The sequence below is a fragment of the Homo sapiens genome, chromosome 19 (assembly GCF_000001405.40).
Source record: "Homo sapiens chromosome 19, GRCh38.p14 Primary Assembly".
NCBI classification, from domain to species: Eukaryota; Metazoa; Chordata; class Mammalia; order Primates; family Hominidae; genus Homo; species Homo sapiens.
The window spans coordinates 2703678-2721784 of NC_000019.10; the positions used below are offsets into that span (position 1 = coordinate 2703678).

Consider the following 18107-nt stretch of genomic DNA (forward strand, 5'->3'; position numbering starts at 1 on the left):
TCTTGAACTCCTGGGCTCAAGTGATTCTCCTGCCTCTGCCTCCCAAAATGCTTGGATTACAGGCCTGGAATCTTCATTTTCCACAAGCTCCCTTGGGAATATTGGAAAACACTTTGTATGTCTCCAAAAGCAGTACACAGCCCTGGAAGGAAGATGGAGCCACCATATTCTGTGACCTCAGGGATTTCATCAGGCGCTGACACTGTGTGTCCTTGCCGCCCCACCTGAGCCCTGGGATTGGAGCTGCTGGCCAAAATCCAAGATAAACTTCCCCAGGGTTCCTGTCATCCCTGCAAGAACCTCCCTGCTCATCCTCTGGACTCCAGTGGCCTGCCCTGCAGGGCACAGAGAAACCTCCATCTCCCTGCTTGCCCTCCTCCAGGCTCTCCCCAGCTGGCATCCCCCAAGAGGAATGACTGTCTAGATAGAGCTTGGGAAGGGCACGGTGGCTCACGACTGTATTCCCAGCACTTTGGGAGGCTGAAGCGGGAGGATCGCTTGAGCCCAGGAGTTCAAGACCAGCCTGGCAACATACTGAGACCGCAACTCTACAAAAAAATTAAAATATTAGCCAGGCCTGGCGGCGCACACCAGTAGTCCCAGCTACTTCGGAGGCGAAAGCAGGAGGATCGCTTGAGCTTAGGAGGTTGAGGCTGCAGTGAGCTTTGATCACACCACTGCACTCCAGCCTGGGCGATAGAGTGAGACTCTGTCTCAAAAAAAAAAAAAAAAAGTGTTAAATACACAATGCAATATGATTCGGCCATAACAAAGAATAAAACCCTGTCATTTGCAGCAAAATGGATGGGACTGGAGGTCATTATATTAAGTGAAAAAGTGAAATAAGCCAGACACAGGAAGACAAATAGGGCATGTTGTCACTGATACGTGGGAACCAGAGAGTTGATCTCATGGAGGTAGAGAGTAGAATGATCAATACCAGAGGCTGGAAAGTTGTGTAGGTTGAGTGGGGGGGAAATGAAAAGAGGTGAGTTATGAGTACAAACATTCAGTTAGACAGAAGGAATACATTCTAATGTTTGATAGCAGAATAGGATGTATTCTGCTATCAAATATAGTATTAGAATAAATTCTAATGTTTGATAGCAGAATAGGGTGACTGTAGTTAGCAACAATGTATTGTACATTTCAAAATAGTTAGAATAATGGTGGCTTACGCCTCTAATCCAAACACTTTGGGAAGCCAAGGTAGGAGAATCCCTTGAGGGCAGGAGTTCGAGACCAGCTTGGGCAACATAGCGAGGCTTCATCTCTATTTAATTATTATTATTATTATTATTTTCTTTTTTGTGTGTGTGAGATGGAATTTCGCTCTTGTTGCCCAGGCTGGCATGCAATGACGTGACGTCAGCTCACCACAACCTCCGCCTCCCGGGTTCAAGCGATTCTCCTGCCTCAGCCTCCTGAGTAGCTGGGACTACAGGAACGTCCCACCACGCCAAGCTTATTTTTTAGTACAGACGGGGTTTCACCGTGTTAGCCAGAATGGGCTCGATCTCCGGACCTCGTGATCTGCCCATCTCGGCCTCCCAAAGTGCTGGGATTACAGGCGCCCACCCGGACACAGTGGCTCACGCCTGTAATCCCAGCACTTTGGGAGGCCAAGGCGGGTGGATCACCTGAGGTCAGGAGTTTGAGACCAGCCTGACCAACATGGAGAAACCCCGTCTCTACTGAAAATACAAAATTAGCCGGGTGTGGTGGCACATGCCTGTAATCCCAGCTACTCGGGAGGCTGAGGCAGGAGAATGGCTTGAACCCAGGAGGCAGAGGTTGTGGTGAGCCGAGGTCGTGCCATTGCACTCCAGCCTGGGCAACAAGAGCGAAGTTCTGTCTCAAAAAAAAAAAAAAGCTAGAAGAGAGTCCTTGAATTGTTCCCAACATATAGAAATGAGAAATAGTCTAAGTTATGAACACCCCAAATACCCAAACATGATCATTATATATTTTATGCATATAACAAATACCACATGTACCCCATACATAGATACAAGTATTTGTAACAATTTTGAAAAAGTGTCATGTGAAACCATGTTGGAGCCTAAGACAAATGGAAAAGGTGGCATGTCCCAATAGACATATTTTCACATATATTTTCCCATCAACTTCCCTTTGGTTTTTTGTTTGTTTGTTGTTTATTTGTTTTTTGTTTGTTTGTTTTGAGATGGAGTCTCACTCTTGTCGTCAAGGCTAAAGTACAGTGATGTGATCTCGGCTCACTGTAAACTCCATCTCCCAGGTTCAAGCTATTCTCCTGCCTTAGCCTCCCGAGTAGCTGGGCTTACAGGCGCCCACCATCATGTCCAGCTAACTTTTGTATTTTTAATAGAGACGGAGTTTCACCATGTTGGCCAGCCTGGTCTCAAACTACTGACCTCAGGTGATCCACCAACCTCGGCCTCCCAAAGTGCTGGGATTACAGGCATGAGCCATTGCGCCCGGCCCCTTTCTTTTGTTTTTTGGGTTTTTGTTGTTGTTGATGATGATGTTGTTTGGACACAGGGTCTTGCTCTGTCGCCCGGGCTGGAGTGCAGTGATTCTATCACAGCTCACTGCAGCCTTGATCTCCCAGGCTCAAGTAATCCTCCCACCTCAGCCTCCTGAGAAGCTGGGACCACAGATGCATGCCACCATGCCTAGCTAATTTTTACATTTTTTTTTTTTAGAGATGGGATCTTGCTATGTTGCCCAGGCTGGTCTCGAACTCCTGGGCTCAAGTGATCCTCCCGCCTCTGCCTTGTTTATTTTCTTTCTTTCTTTCTTTCCTTTTATCTGAGACAGGGTCTCACTCTCTCATCCAGGGTTGAGGGCAGTGGCTCGATCATTGCTCACTGCAGCCTCCAACTCCTGGGCTCCAGCGATCCTCCTGTCTCGGCCTCCTGAGTAGCTGGGACTGCAGGCACCCATTGGGATTACAGGCTTGAAGCCACCTCACCTGGCCCAATTCCCCTTTTTCAAATTTAGCAGTATCCCTGGTCAAAAAAAGAAACATTAAAAATTAAATTAAAATTGTAAATATTGAGATCACTGTGGATTCATACGCAGTTGTAAGACATAGCATAGAAGGAGGGCCAGTACCCTCTGCCCAGCTTCGCCCAATGGCAAACTCTTGCAAAACTGCAGTGAAATGTCATGAACGGGATATTAACATTGTTAAGCTTAAGATAGAGGATGTTGGCCAGGCGCGGTGGCTCACGCCTGTAATCCCAGCACTTTGGGAGGCCGAGGCGGGCGGATCACAAGGTCAGGAGATCGAGACCAGCCTGACCAACATGGAGAAACCCCGTCTCTACTAAAAATACAAAATTAGCCAGGCGTGGTGGCGCATGCCTGTAATCCCAGCTACTCAGGAGGCTGAGGCAGGAGAATCACCTAAACCTGGGAGGTGGAGATTGCAGTGAGCCGAGATCGCATCATTGTACTGCAGCCTAGGCAACAAGAGCAAAACTCCTTCTCAAAAGAAAGAAAGAAACAAACAAACAAAAAAAGGCAGAGGATGTTTCCATCCCTGCGAGGATCCCTCCTGGTGCCTTCTAAGAGCCACACCCACCTTCCTCCCATCCCCAAACCCCATCCCTAACCTCTGACCATCACCAATCTCTTCACCATTTCACTTATTTTTATCTTTTTTTTTTTTCTGAGACGGAGTCTCACCCTATCGCCCAGGCTGAAGTGCAATGGCGTGATCTAGGCTCACTGCAACCTCCGCCTCCCAGGTTCAAGCTATTCTCCAGCCTCAGCCTCCTGAGTAGCTGGGATTACAGGCGCCCACCACCTGGCTAATTTTTGTATTGTTAATAGAGATGGAGTTTCATCATGTTGGCCAGCCTGGTCTCAAACTCCTGACCTCAAGTGCTCCACCCGCCTCAGCCTCCCAAAGTGCTGGGATTACAGGAGTGAGCCACCGTGCTAGGCCCCTTTTTTTTTTTTTTTGAGACAAGGTCTTGCTCTGTCTCCCAGGCTGGAGTGCAGTGGCACATTCACAGCTTACTTGCAGCCTCAAACTCCTGGGCTCAAGTGATCCTCCTGCCTCAGCCTCCCAAGTAGCTGGGACTATAAGTGTGCACCACCATGTCTGGCTAGTTATTTTGTATTTTTATTTTATTTTAAGTTCTGGGATACATGTGCAGGCTGTGCAGGTTTGTTACATAGGTAAATGTGTGCCATGGTGGTTTGCTGCACCTATCTACCCATCATCTATGTTGTTTTGTTTTGATTTGATTTGTTTGAGACAGAGTCTCACTCTGTTGCCCAGGCTGGAGTACAGTGGCGTGATCTCGGCTCACTGCAGCGCCTCACGGGTTCCAGCGATTTTCCTGCCTCAGCCTCCCAAGTAGCTGGGATTATAGGCGCCTGCCACCATGCCTGACTAATTTTTGTATTTGTAATAGAGGCAAGGTTTCGCCATGTTGGCCAGGCTGGTCTCGAACTCCTGACCTCAACTGATTTGCCGGCCTTGGCCTCCCAAAGTGCTGGGATGACAGGCGTGAGCCACCTTACCTGGCCAACTTTTTTCACTTTTTATAATTATCTGATTCATCTAGGTGGTGGCTTGTCTTAGTATTTTGTTCCTTTTGACTGCTAAGTAATATTCCACAATGAGGATGGGGCACAATTTGTTCAACCATCCACCCACTGAAAACCAGTGTTTGGCTCTTACTAATAAAGCTGCCGTTAACATTCCTGTAAGGGTTTGTGTATGAACATAAATCATTTCTCTGAGATAAATGACCAGGACCACAATCGCTATGTCATATGGTAGCTGCATGATTTGTTCTTGAAGAAACTGCCAAATATTCTTCCAGAGAGTTATATATTTTTTAATGTTTTCTTTTGAGATAGGGTCTTACCAGTTTGCCCAGGCTGGTTTTGAACTCCTGGGCTCAAGTGATCCTCCTGCCTTAGCCTCCCAAAGTGCTGGGATTACAGGCATGAGCCTGTATTTTTTAATGGTTACTTTTTTTCCAGAACACTAAAGCAGTTGAAAGTATTCAAGGATTGAAAAGATGTTGTATTCAAACTCACAATGTCATGTGTCTTTTTACAATGTTATTATTAAGTTTCTTTATGTCCAAATAGACTTTATTATAATTTTACTGTCCTAGTTTTAGTAGAAGCAAATCCTACTAAATCATCAGTCATATTTTCAAAATCTACTTCTGGAAAAAATCAACCACTAAAAATGCATACAGATATATAAAGGTGCTGGGCCGGGCGCGGTGGCTCACGCCGGTAATCCCAGCACTTTGGGAGGCCAAGGCAGGTGGATCACGAGATCAAGAGATCGAGACCAGCCTTGCCAACATGGTGAAACCCCATCTCTACTAAAAATACAAAAATTAGCTGGGTGTGGTGGCACGCACCTGTAGTCCCAGCTACTCAGGAGGCTGAGGCAGGAGAATCGCTTGAACCCGGGAGGCGGAGGTTGCAGTGAGCCGAGACGTGCCACTGCACTCCAGCCTGGCAACACAGCAAGACTCCATCTCAAAAAAAACAAAAAGAAAAGAAAAGAAAAAAGAAAATTAGATGGGCACAGTGGCACACACCTGTAGTCCCAGCTACTCTGGAGGATGAGGCAGGAGAATCGCTTGAACTGGAAAGGAGGAGGTTGCAGTGAGCCGAGACTGCACCACTGCACTCCAGCCTGGACAACAAATTGAGACAGTCTCAAAAAAATAGAAAGATATGTAAAGATGCTTAAATATTTGGTATATGTACACATGCACACATTTTTCCTTTTGCCTGAGGCTCTCAGGGGAAGGTTGGATGCTGTCTTTATTTGGGACTTTAAAATTTTGTTCAATGCAGATTTTTTGTACTCATGTCAATTTTTAAAAAAATATTGCATTAGGACCAGGTGCAGTGGCTCATGCCTGTAATCCTAGCACTTTGAAAGGCCAAGATGGGAGGATTGCTTGAGGCTAGGAGTTCAAGACCAGACTGGCCAACATAGTGAGACCCCCATCTCTACTAATAATACAAAAAATAAAAATTAGCTGGGCCGTGGTGGTGCATGCCTATAATCCCGGCTACTCGGGAGGCTGAGGCAGGAGAATTGCTTGAACCTGGCAGGTAGAGGTTGCAGTGAGCAGAGATCATGCCACTGCACTCCAGCTTGGGCAACAGAGCAAGACTCTCAAATACATACATATTGCATTAGTGAGGGTGGCTAGCGTGGCTAGGAGGGATATCACGAGGGAGTCTTTGGTGTCGCTTAAGTGTCTTGTTTGTGCAGTGGCTTACACCTGTCATCCCAGCACTTTGGGAGGCCGAAGCAGGAAGATCCGTTGAGCCCAGGAGTTCGAGACCATTCTGGGCAACATGGCAAGACCCCCCCACCATATCTACAAATATATATATAAGAAAATTAGCCGGGCGTGCTGGCTCACTCCTGCAATCCCAGCACTTTGGGAGGCCGAGGTGGGCGGATCACGAGGTCAGGAGATTGAGACCATCCTGGCTAACACGGTGAAACCCGTCTCTACTAAAAATACAAAAAATTAGCCGGGCGTGGTGGCGGGCGCCTGTAGTCCCAGCTACTCGGGAGGCTGAGGCAGGAGAATGGCGTGAACTTGGGAGGCGGAGCTTGCAGTGAGCCGAGATCGCACCACTGCACTCCAGCCTGGGCGACAGAGCCAGACCCCGTCTCAAAAAAAAAAGAAAGAAAGAAAATTAGCCACATGTGGTGACGTGCATGTGTCTGTAGTCCCAGCTACTCAGTTACTCGGGGGGCGCTGAGGTGGGAGGATCACTTGAGCCCAAGAGATTGAGGCTGCAGTGAGCTGTGTTCACACCACTGCACCATTCCAGCCTGGGCGACGGAGCAAGACCCTGACCAAAAAAAAAAAAAAAAAGTATCTCGTGACGGTGTTTAGAGGAAGTTATGCGTGTGATAAAACTGCATAAACCACACACACACTCACACACTCAGATGAGTGCATGCAAATCCAGTGAAGCTTGCATCCTTCCACTGTGCTGGTTTTGAGGTTATACTGCAGTTATGCAAGATGTAAACATAGCTGGGGGGCTGGGTGCAGGGTGCATCAGACCTCCTTGTACCTTCCCGTGAATCAATAATTATTAATAAATAAAACGTTTTAAAAATTGCAATGAAGGCCAGGCACGGTGTCTCATGCCTGTAATCCCAGCGCTTTGGGAGGCCAAGGCAGGTGGATCACCTGAGGTCAGAAGTTTGAGACCAGCCTGGCCAACATGGTGAAACCCCATCTCTATTAAAACCACAAAAATTAGCCGGGCATGGTTGTGGGCGTCTGTAATCCCAGCTACTCGGGAGGCTGGGGCAGGAGAATTGTTTGAAGCCGAGATCACACCACTGCACTCCAGCCTGGGCGACAGAGCAAGACTCCGTCTCAAAAAAAAAATAATTTTTAAAAGAGGGTGTCTCAAAACCCATGGTCACTTGGAGAAATAGAGGAGGGGGTCCCAGGCAGGTGCTATGCTCCCTGCAGCTGCAGCTGGGATCCCACCATCTTCACATCTGACCTGGAGGACATATCACTAACCACGGCCCTCTCCCGCCTCCTGGGATCCTGGCAAGCCAGACTCCAACCATACATTCACATTACACAGATAGGGAAGCTGAGGTCCTGTGGGTTCCTGCCTTTGTAAAATAGGGCTCTTAGTGCCTGTCCGACCTCCTCAGCCAGCTGCGGTAAGTACACGGTACAGCGGGGCCCTCGAGGTCTCTTGAGGGAAATGCTGAAATGTTCCCGTAACCCCCTGGCATCCTTCTCGTGAAAGTCCAAACTCTTCCCACAGCCCACCAGGCACTGTTTGACCCCTGCTGGCGACCTTCAACTTCACTGGCCACCTTCCCTCTCCTCCCTCCACTCCTCCCAGCCAGGCCTCACCTGTTCCTGCTTTGACACCTTTGCTGGTCCCCCTGTCCAGTGCTCCGTCCCAGGTCCCCTTGGAGCTGGCCTCTCCCCCGCTTCCCACATCAGCAAACACGTCAGCTTCTGAGTCAGACCTCAGAAGGCCTGGGACTCCCAGCCACGTCACTTTTGTGATGCAGGTTTATCTTCTGCGTAGGGAGCATGTGTCTGCGATGATTTGATCCACTTCTTCATAGGGAATCATCGTCCCCAGTGGGTTATGCTCTCTGAGCAGGCAGGGGGCTCTGGGGCTGGTGTCTGTCACTGCTGTGTCCCCAGCATCAGGGCAGGACCAGGCATAGAGTGGTGCCTCTTACATACTGGATGAATGAATGAATGAATGAACCAATGAATACGTGAATGAATGATGTCTCAGCTCTTCCTTCCTTCCAGTCTGGTCCTGAACAACGCCTTACCTCTTCAGGTCAGATCCCTGCCCCAGCCTGCTCTGGGTTAGGGGTGAGGGGTGGGGGCTGGGCTGGCAGATGGGACAAGCAGGGAAGGTCCCCTGACATGGTTTGGCTCTCTGTCCCCACCCAAATCTCATGTTGAATTGTAGTCCCGTGTTGGAGGTAGTGCCTGATGGGAGGCGACTGGATCATGACGGTGGATCCTCATGAATGGATCCACCCCTCAGTCCTGTCTCATAATAGAGTTCTCACAAGATCCGGTATGGCACCTCCTCCCCTGTGCTCCTGCTCCGGCCGAGTGACCTGCCTGCTCCCCTCTGCCTTCCCCCATGACCGTAAGTTTCCTGAGGCCTCCCAGAAGCAGCTGCTGCCATGCTTCCTGCACAGGCTGTGGAACTATGAGCCAATTAAACCTCTTTTCTCTATCATTTACCTGTATCAGGTATTTCTTTTCTTTTTGTGGGGCGGCGGGGGGTTGGACAGAGTTTCATTCTCGTCACCCAGGCTGGAGTGTAGTGGCACGATCTCAGCTCACTGCAAGCTCCGCCTCCCGGGTTCAAGTGATCCTCCTGCCTCAGCCTCCCTAGTAGTTGGGATTACAGACTCCCGCCACCACGCCCAGCTAATTTTTTGTATTTTTAGTAGAGACAGGGTTTTGCCATGTGAGCCAGGCTGGTCTCAAACTTCTGGTCTCAGGTAATATGCCCTTCTCGGCCTCCCAAAGTGCTGGGACTACAGGCATGAGCCACCGTGCCCGGCCTGGGTATTTCTTTATAGCATTCCAAGAATGGACTAATACAGTCTCCTCTGCCCCAACGCCACTGGGCCTGCAAGGAAATTGTCCACGTTCACAGAAAGTCCAGCTGGGAGGATGTCCCCAGCTAATGTGCACAGAGTGAATCTGGAAACCAACACCCTAGAAAAAAGCCACATAAAGACATCTCCAAGCAGAGTCCCAGACGGGTCCTGCCTTGCCTCCCCTGCTGCATGTCCTCAACCCACTCCCTCCACCTCCCCACCACCATCCCATCCTTCGCTTCCTACACAGGTCCCCTCCTCCACTCTTCACCCCATCCCTCACTTTCTACACCCACCACCTCCTCCACCCTTCCTCCCATCCCTCACTTCCTCCACCCATCACCTCCTCCATCCTTCATCCCATCCCTCACTTCCTACACCCATCGCCTCCTCCACCCTTCACCCCATACCTCACTTCCTACACCCATCACCTCCTCCACCCTTCACCCCATACCTCACTTCCTACACCCACCACCTCCTCCACCCTTCATCCCATTCCTCACTTCCTACACCCACCACCTCCTCCACCCTTCATCCCATCCCTCACTTCCTACACCCATCACCTCCTCCACCCTTCATCCCATCCGTCACTGTCTACACCGATCACCTCCTCCACCCTTCATCCCATCCCTCACTTCCTACACCCACCACCTCCTCCACCCTTAATGCCATCTCTCACTTCCTACACCCATCACCTCCTCCACCCTTCATCCCATCCATCACTGTCTACACCCATCACCTCCTCCACCCTTCATCCCATCCCTCACTTCCTCCACGCACCACCTCCTCCACCCTTCATCCCATCCCTCACTTCCTACACCCGTCACCTCCTCCACCCTTCATCCCATTCCTCACTTCCTACACCCACCACCTCCTCCACCCTTCATCCCATCCCTCACTTCCTACACCCGTCACCTCCTCCACCCTTCATCCCATCCCTCACTTCCTACACCCACCACCTCCTCCACCCTTCATCCCATCCCTCACTTCCTACACCCGTCACCTCCTCCACCCTTCATCCCATCCCTCACTTCCTACACCCACCACCTCCTCCACCCTTCATCCCATCCCTCACTTCCTACACCCGTCACCTCCTCCACCCTTCATCCCATTCCTCACTTCCTACACCCACCACCTCCTCCACCCTTCATCCCATTCCTCACTTCCTACACCCACCACCTCCTCCACCCTTCATCCCATCCCTCACTTCCTACACCCATCACCTCCTCCACCCTTCATCCCATCCCTCACTTCCTCCACCCACCACCTCCTCCACCCTTCACCCCATCCCTCACTTCCTACACCCATCACCTCCTCCACCCTTCACACCATCCCTCACTTCCTACACCCACCACTTCCTCCACCCTTCATCCCATCCCTCACTTCCTACACCCACCACCTCCTCCACCCTTCACCCCATCCCTCACTTCCTACACCCGTCACCTCCTCCACCCTTCATCCCATCCCTCACTTCCTACACCCACCACCTTCTCAACCCTTCACCCCATCCCTCACTTCCTCCACCCACCACCTCCTCCACCCTTCATCCCATCCCTCACTTCCTACACCCATCACCTCCTCCACCCTTCATCCCATCCCTCACTTCCTACACCCATCACCTCCTCCACCCTTCATCCCATCCCTCACTTCCTACACCCATCACCTCCTTCACCCTTCACCCCATCCTGCACCTCCCCACCCTTCTTGATCCTTTACAGGCGGTGAGCTGACACCCCACGCCCACCACAGAGACAGGGCGCCATGCTGGTGGGGAATGCAGGATCCACTTTTTTATTGCAGGAAGACTATGTCTAGAGCGAAGGCTACACAGACCCCACGATGGGGGAGTGGGGGCACCCACATGCGGGGGGAGAGGGGGCAGGGGCGGAGTCACAGCAAGCATGGCCTGGCACAGTCCCCAGCACCAGGGATGCCCAGGCAGGATGGGCCAGCAGCCAGGACAGGCTCGGGTCCCCTCCTATTGCAGATGCCCTCTCTCCCCAGGGTCGGGCAGGGCCTGAGGTGGGAGAGGCCTGGAGGTGGGCAGGGCCCCAAGGAGATTGTGCTATCAGGGTGTGTCCCTGAGAAAGGGCCGCAGACCCCTGCCCAGCCTCACTCTCTCCGGCACCTTCAGAACCCAGAAGCTACTGCCAGGACAGGAGAGGAGGCAACATCAGCTGCTGGTGGGCCCTGGGCCAGCCCAAGTTTTGGGGGGACCCAGCTCTGCTCAGACACAATGCCAGCTCTTCTGGGAGCCCGGTCCACGTGCTGGATAGCAACACACACGCACGTGTGCACACTCCCTCTCTCTGAGTGTGTCCAATAAACATTTGTTGAGTAAACACTCACACGAACACAGAGGAAAACAAACATGCTTGTACCAAATCAGACACGAGCAATCTGTTACCTACATAGTCCCACCTGGCCACATGACTACAGAGACACATGTGTGCAATCTCTCTCTCTCTCTCACTGCACAAAAGGGCGTGCGCACACACACACGTTGCTTCCTCACACCCAATAAGACCAAAACCTCCATCTCACCTTCCCTCACTAACTTAGCTGCCATGCTCCGAGCCCCGCTGTGGAGAGACCCACATGGTACAGAACAAAGGGCAGCTTCCAGCCAACAGCCAGCGAGGAACTGAGGCCTTCAGTCTTGCAACAGCAAGGAACTGAATGCTGCAACAACCACATGAGCTTCTAAGAAGCAAATCCTTCCCCGATCAGGCCTTCAGATGAGACCTCTGCCTGGCGAATGCTTTGATTGCAGCCTCCTGAGATCCCAAGTAGAGGACCCAGCCAACCTGCACCCAGGCTCTTGACCCACAGAATCTATGAGATAATAAGCATGTGTTGTTTCTGGTTGCTACATTTGTGGTCATTTGTTACACAGCAGTAGCTGACTGATACAGATTTGGAACCGAAAGTCACATTGCTAGAGTCATGTTGCTATAGAGTGGAACACAGATCGTGTCCCTCAATCAGGACAAACATATTTACAGATAAATGCTCTCAGATAAACCATATCACCCACTCCCCAAAATATAGTCATGCTCATACAGGCACAAAGATTCACACAGACACCTCACACATATCCAGTCTTGCTGACAACCACACACAGGTATCTACAACTACCCACCTCTCTGTATACCCTACACCACTATTACACACACAGACTGCCACAAAAACATATCATCCCAGACAGACACACACAGGTATACACGCAGATGCACTTAGATACAAGTCACCCATCCGCGCACCCCAGGTTGCACAAATACACCATTCCATAGCCACTTCCGTGTATGTTGGACACAACCCTGTGGGGTCACACGAGTGTGGTGTCACTCAGACTCTCTCAAAAAACACCCAGAACCTCATGGCTGCAGGTACACTCGACTCCAGGACGCCACCTTCCCGGGCAGGCCCTGCTCTCTGGGGCACAGGTGGTGGGGAGGAAGTGGGTGGGGCAGACCTCTGTCCGGGGCGCCCTCGGATCCTGCTGGTGCTGGCTCCCATCGGCTGTCCCCCCACGGGGGTGTAATTGATGTATCTCTGGCCGGGGCCCCGGGTACCCCCTCCTGAGCACCCCAGGTCCCCACCCGCCATGCGTTGCTAACGTCTCTGTCTTGGTGGAAGAGGCGGGTCCCGGGTGGGCGGTGTCCGGGAAGCCCCTCCACGCCCATGGTGCCTCTCCAGCGGGGCAGTTGTGCTGTGGATGTGGCTGGTCCCGGGGGTGGGATTCGGGGCTGGCAGGGGCACTGCTGCAGGCCCTGTGGTTATTGCCTGGTGGCCTGAGGCCCATCCCACGGGCCCCACACCCCACTGTGAAGACAGAGGAGAGAGGTGCGTCTGGAACCGGAGGAGTGGGCACAGATCAGAGGTCACGACGGGCCGGGTGGGCTTGGGTGTATGTTAACACCAAATAGGAGAAAAAAGAAAAAAATATCTGAGGCCGATGTGCATTTTCAACTCCCCCCTCCCCCAGAAGGTCACAGTGATCAAATGTGAGGGACAGGACGCGCAGGTCTGGCTGGGGACACCCCAGGGAAAGAGATGGAAACGGGGAAACGCAGCCTCCTCTGGTCCTGGTGGGAACAAGCAGCTCCTCTTGCCAGCTCCCCATCCTGTTTTCCCATCTGCAGGACAAGGGGGCCACCTCCGGCTCTTGGTTTTGGAGGGTACAGACAGAACAGGAGGGTGGAGAGAGAGCAGGGGAGGAAGAAAAGCCCCAGCCCTGCCTCGGGGTGGGCAGGGGCAGCGGAGGGGGGGGCGGTGGCCTCGGTTTCCCCAGCCGAGGTGTCGGAGGAAGGATGAGAGAAGAGGAGGAGGCCGAGGAGGGTGTCGGTGTTGGGGGAGGCAGCGGGGGTCAGTGGGGGTGGGCGGCGGGCAGGCGGGCGTTCCGGGCTCACATGAGGGTGCATTTGCCCTTGACGCGGTCTGTCCTCTTCTGCTTCCCGGAGCGCTTGCCGTCGATGTTGAGGCTCATGTTCCGGCGCGTCTCCAGCGTCAGCAGCTCCTGGAAGAGCTCCTTGACGTTGTAGTTCATCTTGGCCGAGGTCTCCATGAAAGCGCACTTCCACTCCTGGGCCACCGCCTGCGCCTCGCGCGTGTCCACCTCCCGCTGCGTCTCATCGCACTTGTTGCCCACGAGCATCACGGGGATGTCCTCCACGCTGCCCTTGATCTGCACGATGAGCTTGTAGATGGGCCCCAGCTCCTCCAGCGACTGCTTGCTGGTGACGGAGAACACCAGGATGAAGGCGTGGCCCTTGGAGATGGACAGGCGCTGCATGGCCGGGAACTGGTGGCTGCCGGTGGTGTCTGTGATCTGCAGCGTGCACACGCTCTTGTCGCAGCTGATCACCTGCCGGTAGGTGTCCTCGATGGTGGGGATGTAGGTGTCGCGGAACGTGCCCTTCACGAAGCGCAGCACCAGCGAGCTCTTGCCCACGCCGCCCGCCCCGAACACCACCACGCGGTAATCGTTACTCTGTTCCGGCATCTTCCCCGCGGCGGGTGGGCGGCCGGGGCCGGGAGGGCTGGTGCCAGCTGCAAGAACCCCAGACCGAGCCTGTGCAGAGAGGAGGGTCACACGTCAAAGGCCACCCAGGCTTGAGGGGACAGCCCCACGCCCCGGGGAGGGAGGAGGACATGGCGGCTTCTCAGAGGAGGTGGCTGCCGTGCCTCCTGCCTCCTGAAAAGGCCCATTTGCTTGTGGCTGACTTTGCAGTTCTGTCCCACAGGCGGGCGCACAGCCAACACCCTTTGCTTACTTCTCCCTAACAAAATCTGGGGCCTGAGCTTCCCCGGGGGACGCTGAGCTAGGAGAGGCGTGGGAGACGCCGGGATGCCCACGAAACTCCTTCCCCGGGTGTGGGTGTCCCTTCCAGGCTGTGCCAGCTTCCCCCTCTCTTCCCAGTGTGGCAGGGGCCCCTGGAAGCTAGCAGGCCTGGCTTCCACCTCTCGCTCCACACCTGCCTGGCTCTGAGACCTTGCCGAGCCATCATGCCACCCTGAGCCTGTTTGGTGGCTCAAACGGTGCCCGTCTCCAACAACCATGGGTCCCCTGCTCTTCCGCCAACCCAGAGATGGCCAATCCTCATGGAAGCCGCACATGGTCGGGTGTTTAAGATGCATATGTCAGGGCCGCAGCCCTAGGTGTGATGAATCGGTCGGCCAGGGCAACGGCCCTGGGAACTCGTATTTTATTTTATTCTTCTTATTTATTTATTTATTTTTAGACAGAGTTTCGCTCTTGCTGCCCAGGCTGGAGTGCAATGGCACAATCTTGGCTCGCCGCAACCTCCACCTCCCGGGTTCAAGCTATTCTCTTGCCTCAGCCTCCCAAGTAGCTAGGATTACAGGCATGCACCACAAAGCCCGGCTAATTTTATATTTTTAGTAGAGGCAGGGTTTCTCCATGTTGGTCAGGCAGGTCTTGAACTCCTGACCTCAGGTGATCCACCCACCTCGGCCTCCCAAAGTGCTGGGGTTACAGGCGTGAGCCACTGCACCTGGCCTTCTTATTTTTTTTAAAACCAAGTCTTGCTCTGTTGCCCAGGTTGGAGTTCAGTGGTGCAATCTCGGCTCACTGCAACCTCTGCCTCCTCGGTTCAAGCAATTCTCCTGCCTCAGCCTCCAGAGTAGCTGGGATTACAGGCATGCACCACCACACCCGGCTAATTTTTGTATTTTCAGTAGAGACGGGGTTTCGCCATGTTGGCCAGGCTGGTCTTGAACTCCTGACCTCAGGTGCTCCTCTCGCCTCGGGCTCCCAAAGTGCTGGGATTCCAGGTGTGAGACACCGCATCCAGCTGGAACTTGTATTACAGGGCTGCTCTCCTCACCTGCCATAAATGGGATCCTGAGGCTGGGAATCTGAGAACCACAATTTGCAAATCAGGGCACTGATTCCCAATAGCCGCCCCAGGGAGGAAGGGTCTTGCAGCCCAGGTGGGACACAAAAATACAAAATCCAGAAGCTGAACGGGAAAATCGCCACTCCCTAAACTCTAAAATCAAACTATGGCCTGGTGTGCCCTAGCCCCTCCCGTTCAGGTCTGAAGGATCCTTAGAATAGCACTTCCTGGGAGGGGCACCTCTTAGCCCCTCTCTTCCTTCTTGGGCTCAGAGAGGTCCAGCAGCCTGAGGAGGTCACACAGCACAGCAGATCCTGAAATGATGGAGGTGGGGGAAGAACGCTGGGGGGAGGGCGGGTGGCTTATCTCCAGAATTGATGTCCTCCCCTCCCCTTCCTCCTTCCAGGCTCTGGGGCAGCGGTGGGGGGTGGGGGAGGGGTGTTCCCCAGCAAGGTGGTCTACAGTGGGAGAGGAGGAGGAACCAGTTTCTACCTGCTGCACTGGGGGTGGGGGTGTGTTTATGGGGAGGGTCCAGAGGTTCCCCGGGGGTCAGTGGTTTGAACCTAAACAGGCAAATTCAAGTCCCTAAGCCTCCGTTTTCTCTTCTGTGAAATGCGAGCCACTGTTGGGGCAAGTAAGGTGACAAGGTGGAGAAAGGCCCTAGGCAGTGCCCTGTACAGCGGAGACCCCGATCACAATTGTGATCACAGTCACAAGGGCTTGGGGCCGGTGGGCAGGGCACTTGGCTGTGCCTGTTGGTTGCAAAGGCACCTTCTGGATTATCAAGGGTAACAGATTTGCCAGGAAAAGAAAAGAGGCTGATGAAAGCGCCAGCTGACACAGTCCCCAGTTGTGATGAGCCAGGCAAACTTCTGGGCGCCTCGGCAATGCCAACTCATGTGATTGGCTGCCGGGTTTGTGGACTACATGCATAGTAATTTCTCGGCATTCGGAGGAGGCTGGGGGTGCTGGTGGTGGGGGGGAGGCGGCCTGTGCTGCAGACCCTGCCCTTTCCTGGGTGGGCGCCCTGAGAGGCGGGCACGCTGCTGTGCAGAAAGACGCCACCAAGACCGGCCTGGGGTCCTAATGGCCATGGGTTCTGTGGACCCAGATCCAGCCTTTGCCTTGCTGCGGGCACTGAAGCTCCAGCCCCCATGAGCAGTACTGTCCTCCCCGCTGGGTCTGGAATCCCTGACCAGAAAGGCGCTTGCACTCAACAGCCCCGAAGCCCACGCCACTTCCCACCTCCACCGCCTGGGGGGTGCGGGTGGAGGGAGGGGGTCGTGGGCACCGAGGCAGGAGCAGGAGGGGCTGGCTCAAGGTCACAGAGCAGGGGGGTGGAGGCGCACAGCGGGGCTGGAAGCCCACCCTGCTTGGCTAGACTCCTGGGGTTTCCCGCCTGTGCGGGGCAGCCCACCCCCAGACGTCCAGGCAGGGCCAATCTACCCCAGCCCTGGGTCCCTGAAGCCCGGCTCCCGGCCGGGCACGGCGTGGTTGGTGGGGGCGGGGGTGTCAAAGCAAAGCTCAGGGTCAGGAAAGCAGAGAGAGCCGCGACCCAGGGGTCTAGCGGGGGTCACGCCTGACCAAGGGTGGGGCGGGGGTCTGACCCAGGGCCGCCTGGCCGGTGAGGGGTTTGATGGAGAAAGGGCCTGCTCTAGGGGGCCCGAGGGCGCAGAGGCACAGTGCGGGGCCAGCCCAGGGGCGACCCTTGACTCAGGAGGACCTCAGTGGTGGAGAGGAGGAGCCCACCCCGGGGAGGGGGCGCGGAGGGAGGGGCTTGGCTGGGCAGCGGGGCGGAGGGCGAAGAAGGCGGCTGCAGGAGGGAGGAGGCCCTGCCCGAGGGGACCAATGCGGAGAGGGGCGGCGGGGTGGGCCTCGGTGGGGCGGGCTCGGCAGGGGGGCGCCCTCCGGGTGGGGGAGGGGAGGCGGCCGGGAGCTGTCCAAGGTGAGCGCGGAGGGGCCGGCCGGGCCCGGCGGGAAGGGACGGGGGACGCCCGGCGAGGGGCCCCGGAGCCACGCGGGGAAGGGCCCGGCCCCAAGGCCCGGGAGGCTGGGGCCGGGACAAAGGAGGGACGCGCGGCGGGGAGGACGGCCGGCTGGGGGCTGCGCAGGGACCCCCTCCCCGCCCCGGGCCGCCTACCTGGGCCCGCTGGTCCCTGCGGCGCCGCGGCCGCTGCTCCTGCCCGCTCCGGTGTCCGCTGGCGCCGCCGCCCCCCGCCCGCCCGAGCCGCCGCAGTCGCGCCCGCGCCGTCCCCGCCCGCCGGGCCCCGCGCTCCGCCCCGCCCCGCCCCGCCCCGCCCCGCCCCGGGGACCCGCGCCCACGGGGCCGGCGCGCCGCCCGGCCAAGGTCACCGCCGCCCCACGCGGGACCCCTGCCCGCGCCCGGGGTGGGAGAGGTCGCCAGGATCCGGGACCCCCGCCCTGCCACGTAGCCACCTGCGCGCGCCCTCCCTCGGGGTGGGAGCTGGGGCCGCTTCCCGGGGAACCCCGAGTGGGGGCCAGGAGCCCGGCTTGGGAGGAGCAGAGTCCAGCCGGGGGTGGAGGGCTTTGGCAGAAATGCGGATAAAGGGGGTGCAGAACGGGACCCCTGAGGCCGGCTGGGGCCCGGTCACACGCAGGGC

At 55.0% G+C, this 18107-nt stretch overlaps 1 protein-coding gene across 4 annotated transcripts, besides 1 other annotated feature; it reads right to left on the reverse strand.

The window, feature by feature from the left end:
* Positions 6814 to 6893: an enhancer, noted in NCBI's record as "active region_13714". NCBI's record gives its function as "activates an Ori minimal core promoter by ATAC-STARR-seq in GM12878 lymphoblastoid cells {active_cell/tissue: GM12878}" and the evidence as "EXISTENCE:reporter gene assay evidence [ECO:0000049][PMID:35858748]".
* DIRAS1 (DIRAS family GTPase 1) lies at positions 10890 to 17695 on the reverse strand. Of its 4 annotated transcripts, none has more exons than XM_047438276.1 (3): positions 17627 to 17695; positions 14602 to 15474; positions 10890 to 14198 (listed from the first exon to the last, which is right to left on the reverse strand). In XM_047438276.1, exons 2-3 carry the CDS (start codon positions 14632 to 14634, stop codon positions 13533 to 13535), a joined length of 699 nt encoding a protein of 232 aa, XP_047294232.1. In that variant the 5' UTR covers positions 14635 to 15474; positions 17627 to 17695; the 3' UTR covers positions 10890 to 13532. The 4 variants fall into 4 exon arrangements, with proteins under 4 accessions (XP_047294232.1, XP_047294230.1, XP_047294231.1 ...); XM_047438274.1 differs by having other exon boundaries at positions 14602 to 15505; XM_047438275.1 differs by having other exon boundaries at positions 14602 to 15800.
* Between the last annotated feature and the right edge of the window lie 412 nt (positions 17696 to 18107).